Here is a 9110-nt window from a genome sequence, read left to right as displayed (position 1 = left end):
ATAATTATAGCTTATGTAATTATCTAAATTATATTATTTTCTAAGTAGGCTCCCAAAAAAAATCACCTAGTGGCAACTATTTTTAACCATTTTTTCTTTCCAAAATCTTTCTATGCTTTATTTTTCCATAGTTGTGATTACACTATACCACATTTTATATTACAGCATATAAATTTTTTGCATTATTCAAAGTCACTCTTAAATATGATTTTAATAGCTGCATAGAAGCCCTTTACATAAATATACTATGTCTAACTATTCTTTTGATGTGAGGAATACCTTTAAAAATAAATCACTTTCGGCCGGGCGCTGTGGCTCATGCCTATATAATCCCAGCACTTTGGGAGGCCGAGACGGGCGGATCACGAGGTCAGGAAATGGAGACCATCCTGGCTAAAACGATGAAACCCCGTCTCTACTAAAAATACAAAAAACCAGCCAAGCGTGGTGGCAGGCTCTTATAGTCCCAGCTGCTCGGGAGACTGAGGCAGGAGAATGGCGTGAACTCGGAAGGCGGAGCTTGCAGTGAGCCGAGATCGTGCCACTGCACTCCAGCCTGGGCGACAGAGCGAGACTCCACCTCAAAAAATAAATAAATAAATAAATAAATAAATAAATTAATTAAATCACTTTCTGCATTTGTAATTATTTACCTAGAGTAGAACCCAAGAGATGGAATTACTTGGTCAAAAAGGATTAATATTTTTAAGATTTCTATATATTTCCAAGTTGCCATGAGCTGAACTATGTACAGAACTTAAAATAATGCCTAAGGCATAGAACGTTTTAAAAATGCTTTATGTAGTAAATATATTAACTATCTCTTTGTTTTAAGTACTTCTCCATCATAGTTTGTTTTAGATGTATATAATATGAATTTTAAAAATACAAAGTGTTTCATGTTAATCATATCTGTTGATCCTTTGTTTATAATTTATTTTAATATTCTTTGCTAATTAAATAATTCCCCAGCTAGATAGCTAATATTTTCTTATATTTCCTTATTTAATATTTATACACCATAGGCTTTAGAAAATCTTTAATCTCATATAATTTAGCTACTTTTTCTTTAGCATTCTACTTATGCTAATAAGATTTATAATCTAGGTGTAAAACTGAAGTTATCAAAATTAGTCAGGCTTAATCAAAATTGGATGTGCCTGGTTCAAAACAAAAAAAATGCTCAAGACATAGCTAAGTAGGGAGAGCTACATTTCAAGGTTATTTGAGCTCTCAGTTTTTCTTTGCTTTGTTTCTTTTTCTTGCAGGACTAAACAATGTCATCCAAGGCCATAAGAGATACAAAACCCAAGGAAAAATAGGAGGAAGTTAGGTTGCTTTTAGATTTTTAAACTTTTAAGTTTGCATGTAGGCAATGAAAGGGAAGGGGTTTTCTGTTTTCTAAAAAATTTGATAAGCCTTAAGTTTCATGTATTTCATTGGTTGGAGAATTATCTTGATAGAAATTGTTGAACTTAGAAGGCTTCCCACAGTAATCTATCCTAGCCACCGCATTATGAAGTTGTAGTGTTAATTACGGTTAAAACTTTGAGTGCAATGCCTGAACATGCCAAGAACTTTACAAAAAAAAGGAAAGCTCTCCTCGTTTCCAGACTAAGCAACCAACTCAGCTATTTCATAAACTGACAAATACAGTTGAGCAACCATCACTGTTATTACAGAGTGAATCAGCACAACGACAAGAAAACGTAGGTGGATAATAATAAAATATTGTCCTGGTGGAAGAAGACTTTGTGTGATTCCAGTTTTGCTATATTAATGAGTCCTCTCCAGAAAGGATAGTAACATCAAAAAGTGGCTTGCCAGTCTTGCCACACTCACTCTCATACTATTTTTCTGTATGAAATGGGGTTAGCTTGTCAGTAAAACACTTGTCTTTTTCTTCTAAAAAAAATTACATTTAAATACAGTTAAAATATCAAGAATATTTAATAACTTTTCTATGCCCTTAAGCAATAATGTTTTTAGAATCTATGTTAAATCACATTTTCATTAACCACAGCATAATTAATCAGCACTTTAAAAAACAACAGACTAATAGGTGTGTTTTCTTTTTCTTGTTTTGGAGACGCAGCCTCGCTCTGTTGCCCAGACTGGAGTGCAGTGGCGGAATCTCGGCTCATTGCAAGCTCCGCCTCCTAAGTTCACGCCATTCTCCTGCCTCAGCCTCCCGAGTAGCTGGGACTACATGCACCTGCCACCACGCCCGGCTAATTTTTTGTATTTTTAGTACAGACGGGGTTTCACCGTGTTAGCCAGGATGGTCTCGGTCTCCTGATCTCATGATCTGCCCACCTCGGCCTCCCCTAAAAATATATTTTAAATTAACAATAACCTTAAAAAAAACTTGAGTATGGTTTCAAATTATTTAGGAACACAATGCTTATAATATTTTATACAAGTTCCATTTCAAAAAATAACTTGGTTTATTTACTGACCATTTAATGAGCATACACTGTGTGCCGAGGTTTTGGAATATATCAATAACTAAAACAAAAAAAAATTATTACTGTTGATCCTTCTGAGGGAGCTGTGCTATATCTTCACTCTGGTATTAGTTACACAAATCTACATTCATGTAATCTACATGTAATAAAATTGCATCATACTAAATACACACACAAATAAATACATGTAAAACTAGTGAAATCTGAAAAAAGTGAGTGGATTCTGCCAGTGTCAACTTTCTGGTTGAGATATTATAATATAGTTTTGCAACCTTACCATTGGGGGACACTGGATCTAACACAAAAGATCTCTTTGTATTATTTCTTACAACTATATGTGAATCAACAATTATGTGAAAATGAAAGTTTTTTTTGTTTTTTACAAATTCCTTACCTTTGGAACTTAAATTCTAGTGGCTGGAAACAGACAAAAAGTAATAAACATAGTAAATAAGTAAATTATATAGTAGGATAGAAAGTGATTACATACTATAGAAAAAAAAATAAGGCAGAGTAAGGAGAACCAGGAGTAGCCTAGGTCTATTGTGAAGGTGACATTTGAGCAAAGATTTAGGAAATCAGTGTTTACCTGTGGGAAAAGCATTCAGCAGAGGGAACAGCCACTGCAAAACCGCTAAGGCAGAAATGAGCGTGAGTGTTTGAGGAGTTATGGGGGCCAAGTGGCTGGAACAGAGGAAAGCAGCAGGTAACTCATAGAGAGCTGTAAGTCCCCAAATGCTGGAAGATCTCAGAGGCCATTGTAAGGACTTTGGCTTTTTCTCTGAGTAGGAAACCACTGGAAGGTTTTTGAAGAGAGCTGTTGACATGTAACATACTTGTAAAGGATCACCCTGGCTCCCATGTTGAAAACAGAGTATAAGAGAGTAAGAGTGGAAGCAGAGAGATCTGTCAGGAGGCTATTCTTTTGCAAGCATCAAGAGGACAGTAGTGAGGGACAGAAAACTTGAGAACTAAGACAAAACCTAGCAGTGCACTACTTCTGTACTCTAACTCACACATCAGTGCCTCAGATAACAATTACAAAATCCAAAAACTCACATTTCCAAGGAGAACTGCTTATAAGTAGATTATGCAATGCCTAATTTGCATAAATTACAAATGTTGCTCTTTATCATGGGAAATCATAAAGGCCTCAGTTGTAAATGGTAAGTCTTTTCTTTATGAAACATCAAAACACTTAATAAAAATCTTGTCATATCTCATTTAGAAAACTTCTGCTACCCTCACTGCACCTATTCCGATTGTTTGAAACAGGAAGGAGGCTCTCTGCTACATCCCTTTTTCTTAATTGATTGAAGCGTCCTAGGTCAGGGCCACTGGCAAGGTAACTCTGGCTCCCTCTACTGACTTCCTCAGAGGGTCAAGGAGAAACCAGATTCATCAGCCCCATATAATTACGAGATAAATAAAAAGAACACATTTATTTCTCCATGCCATCAAGTGTGATGTTATCCAACATAAAAATGCTTCAGGCTTTTGAAGAAATAAAATGACTGCATTGCCTATTGCTTAAAGACTGAACATTCTCATAAATTGAATAAGCATAGCTACAAAGCTCATTCTGTGCTGCATGGGCTGTTGTTTCTCTATCTCTGTCATCTTACTCTGAATATATTACAGGTATGTCATTGAGTGTTTATACGGTCCATAAAAAGTACCTTTTTAAAATCATTATGTGCACTTGCTTGCTACAATAAAAGATGAAATTTTGAAACAATTCAATCTCTTGAGTACTCAAAAGCAGCTGTTCCTTTGAAACTGTGGTTTATCCTGAAGTTCTGCCAGCCCAATGGAAAAGTTTTAATACAATTAAATGAGACTGAAGCTGAAGCAGAACAAATATGCACTATGTGGTAGAATAAAACAAAAAGCAAAATTCTACTTAAAGAATTCTTGAAAGGGACAGAAGGAGCTGCATATGCAAATATTGAAGATTGCTTCTATTTTCTTTTTGGCAACACAATATTGACAATGAAAATGTTTCCTCATCTGATCCTGGATATAAAAAGAAAATAATTTCAGCCTATTAATTCTATGAAAACCCCCACATTTGCCACCTCTCAACCACAGATTTTGATTTCCCTGTTCCCAGACATCACAGCAGGGGGAGTTGCCTCCTACATGAAGGTTTTCTTTAGCAAAAGGTGTTTCATGTGACAGAATACCTCTTTAAGCTTTTCTAGATGTCATAATCCTTAAGAAGAGAAGCTAAATGAAGATTTTAAATTTTCTGTAACTTCCTATCCTGCTCACAGATTAACTTGATTTACAGCAATATGCTAAAGAGAAAAACACATTCATTACTCAAAGATGTAGATTCTATAAACTCAGTGTTTTACATATTAAAAAGTAACTTGGTTATGCATCATGGTTTTGTACTTGCACATCAATATTGTAAATTATTTATTAATTTAAAACACTGTCATATTATATCACATTAAGAGTGATATAGGCTGAGGCTTTAAATATGGAGCCAAAAAAATTGCACCCTTTAAATACATTCGTTATATTGTTAATACTGGCAATAAATCTTCAAAACTTTTTGACATTGTGGAAATAATGTTTTATTTTTTTAAATTGTTATAGAAAAGGATTACTCAGCACCTGATATTTATAGCATAATTAAGCCTTTCTTTCCAAGTTTTAAATAATCAAGAACAGAAGAAAATAATTTTGTTTGCTACTTTCTCTATATTTGCCATTAGTGTAGGAAACATGCCTTGTTATGTCTACATCTGAAAAGTCTTATACCAATTAAGTGCCTCAAACTCTATTTTACTCCACTGCAAAAGAAACAATCCTTTCATCTTTACAATTCAGACTGTATTTCCCCACCTTTCTTATATCCCTCTTCCTTTCCGCTGATCTTCAGATATGTTAAAACATTGTAGCAAACTGCTTTTAACTCTTCTCCCACCACAAATTCTATTCAAACAAAATGAATTCACTGCATTTCCCACTGCTGCTGGTCACCCTTCCTATGTGCAGTCATTGCAGTCATCAGCACATGACATTTTATTTTAGTCCCTGAAGTGACTCAGCTTTTTAAGATGTAACTCTTAAGCGGTGGTTATAACTAGTGCTTCGTTTCCCTATAATCTCATAACCACTGCCACTCTATTGCTTTGCTAACATCTTTGCTGCTCTCTCACCTTGCAATCTATTGCATACAATTTCCCCAATTTGGAAGTCTTTACCCACACACTCATTCTCTCCAACACTTTTATCATTCATTTAATTTCAAACCACTTATTGTCCCTTACTTTTTGGGAACACAATTTGGCGATGTAAGTGCTTACTTATTTGTTTCTCTGTCTTTGTCATTTTCTTCTGAATATATCACGGGCACTTTAGTACTGTTTTAAATACACAGGTGCTGTTATAATACAGGTGCTGTTCTGTGTGTTGATGTCATACAAGAAAAGAACAGTTGTTGACTTACATCTTCTGAATCTCCCAGCACAGTAGTCCGCATGATGGTGTAGGGTACACTTGCCATTTCATGTGGTTTTTTATCTCTAATTTATCAATCCATGGTCTCATGTGATTATCATTAAATCAATATTTTCACCTAACTCCTTGAATCCAAGGCAACACGCATACATACAATTTTTGATAATTTTTAACCTTACATTCAAGGCCTTGCACAACTAGTTCCTTGTTTATTTCGCCGACCTCATCTCTATCTACCTCTCTACCCAAATCAGCACTCCCAATAGTCGGCACAAGAAAAGTTGCTTTTCACTTTTCCCAATTTCTGGGTTTCAGAATTTTAGGACTTCCTTATAAACAGCAATGCAGAGGATCCTAAGCAAGACAATGTAAATAAAATATTCCAAGATTCTTTACTCAAAGATGACACCAGCCAAAGTCAGCAAAAGAAGTAACAAGTCAATGGTTACCGGAAATTCTTTCCTCTCTGTCTTTGGCACAAACTCTCTCCAAGGGAAGCTTTAAAGCTAATTAAACTGGCCAGGCGCAGTGGCTCACACCTGTAATCCCAGCACTTTGGGAGGCCGAGACAGGCAGATCACCTGAGGTCAGGAGTTTGAGACCAGCCTGGCCAACATGTTGAAACCCCGTCTCCACTAAAAATACAAAAATTAGCCGGGCATGGTGGCAGGCACCTGTAATCTCAGCTACTTGGGAGGCTGAGGCAGGAGAATCACTTGAACCCGGGAGGCAGAGGTTGCAGTGAGCCGAGATCACGCCATTACACTCCAGCCTGGGGGACAAGAGTGAGACTTCATCTCAAAAAATAAATAAATAAATATAAAAAGTCACCTAGTTAAACCTAAGTCTTGTTTACTTTATTTTCATTTAATGCAATTACCATAAGGCAGAGGTTCTATTGGTAGGGCAAAGAAGAGAATGTGCAAAACAATTTTGACAAAGACTTAACTAGGCCTAATCAAAAATCCCACTATTTCTAGGCTAGACTCAGTCTTATGGTTAAAAGGAAGCACACCAAACCAAAGTTCTACACTGTTACCCTATTGTTTTATCTCTTCCTTCCCACAAAGGCTGGCTGACCTCTAGGCAGTCGTTTCTAAATTTATTAGCCTAACTTTTATTTATTTCTACCACCTAAACAATGTCCTTCATCTCACCTTATGCAATAGATTCACATTCTCATAAAAATATGCCACTCAACACATGTAATAGTCTGGGTTCTTCAAGAAACAAAACCGAAACCAATATCTAGATAGATGACTAGCTATTGGATATAGATAGATAGATAGACAGACAGACACACAGACACACAGACAGACAGATAGATACAGGCAGACAGACAGGCAGACATAAAGGAGGGGAGAGAGAAAAAGACAGAGAGAGAGAGAAGAAAGAAGAGATTGATTAATTGATTAAAAGAAATTGGCTCATGAGGCAGCTATGAAAGCTAAGTCTCAAAATCTATAGTCAGTAAGCCAGAGACCCAGGAGCCAATGGTATAGTTCTGATGGCAAGTTCAAAGGTCTGAGAAGCAGGAAAGTTAATGTTGTAAGCTCCAAACCATGTCCAAATCTGAAAGCAGGAGAAGACTGATATCCCACCTCAAAGACAGGCAGAGAGAGCAATCCCCCTTACTCAGCCTACATGTTCTCTTCAGTATATCCACAGATTGGATGAAGCTCACCTCCCCATTGGGGAGGGCAGTCTGCTTTACTCAATCCACTCATCATTCTCATCCAGAAACACCATCACGGACACACCCAGAATTATGTTTAACCAAATATCTAGACACCCATGGCCCAGTCAAGTTGATACATAAAGTTAGCCATAATAATACATGACATGTCTGTTTTTCTCTATATACATTTGCTGAAATTCATACCCACATCACGTGGTGTTTCTCATGTTTCCTACTAACTTAAGAGTCATGCTTCCCTCAAGGTAAAGCTTATGACTACATATTTCACAAATGACTTCTCAGCTACACCCAACCCGTCATTCTTTTTTCTGCTGAACTCTTGTAGCTAGCATTCATATGTAGACACATATAGTACATTAATTTAAAAAAGAAGAAAAAATCATATAAGATGACCTATGCTAAATATCAACTGAATACGCATATTACATTTAAAAATTACTATGTATATATTTTTCACATTGAATGATCCTGAGGATATCAGGTAGAGTGAGGCCAAAATGCCTGTTTAAGTCATAGCCCTGCAAACTATACTTCTATATAGTTTCCCAGAATCAGGATTTTTGTCAAAGCTGCAGACTTTGAATGCTACACAGCTATCTCAGTGTTTCTATACTATGACTCAGTAGACCAAAGAATCTGAATTTGAGGATTACAGATTCAGTGGGCATTAAGACATCTGTAAGCTCCATGTAATTGTACCCACAATATTGTGTTTGTAACATAATCATGAGAGTTCAGAGATCTAATCATGTTCTCAAGAGTCTATGACCCCAGTAGGTTAGAAACCAGTATCCTTGGTCATTTTCTGCTATATCTTACAGGATTCTTTTGAAGAATAAAATAACTATTTTAATTGCATTTTAGGCTGCAAAGCACAAAATACTCCAAAAGTCATGGAGTGAATAGATATTATTAGATGGCACTGCTGATGTGAATTTTCCTCCCATCAGACAAAACCTTTCTTTTCTGGTATCTGTAGTCAATAGGGTTTTTTGTTTATTTGTTTGTTTTGTTTTGTTTTTACCATTGGTAGAATACATGCCCTTGTACTGAATGATTTTCTATTATATGAATCAGTATGAGTTAAAGTCTACCTACTGGGGTGTGGCTAACTGCTGTATCACTCAGCCATTATTGTACAGTAACCACAAAATCTCAAAGGAAGAATGTGTTTGACTCAAGGGTCTATAAGTCCCCTGAAGCAGCTCTGCTCCACACGTCTCACACTCTCCTGGAGCCAGCCAGGATATGTTTTTCTCTGGGCAATGGCAGAGTACAAGAGAGCAAACCCTATAATACAAGCACTATTCAAGCCTGTACTTGTGTTAAGTCAGCTAACAACCCATGGGCTAAAATAAGTCATGAGGCCAAGTTCAAAGTCAATGGGATGAGGAAGTATATCCGCCTTTAGAGGGAGAAACTGCAAAGTTACAGACAAAGGAGACAGGCATAGGAAGAGATGGAGTATT

The 9110-nt window shown here is 36.5% G+C and overlaps 1 annotated feature.

Annotated features, from left to right (window-relative positions):
* Positions 5341-5635: an enhancer, noted in NCBI's record as "tiled region #4515; K562 Activating DNase matched - State 5:Enh". NCBI's record gives its function as "activates a minimal TATA promoter and a strong SV40 promoter by Sharpr-MPRA in K562 cells {active_cell/tissue: K562}" and the evidence as "EXISTENCE:reporter gene assay evidence [ECO:0000049][PMID:27701403]".

This window comes from Homo sapiens, chromosome 3, assembly GCF_000001405.40.
Source record: "Homo sapiens chromosome 3, GRCh38.p14 Primary Assembly".
In the NCBI taxonomy this organism is placed as follows: Eukaryota; Metazoa; Chordata; class Mammalia; order Primates; family Hominidae; genus Homo; species Homo sapiens.
This window is presented reverse-complemented; position numbering and strand designations above follow the sequence as displayed.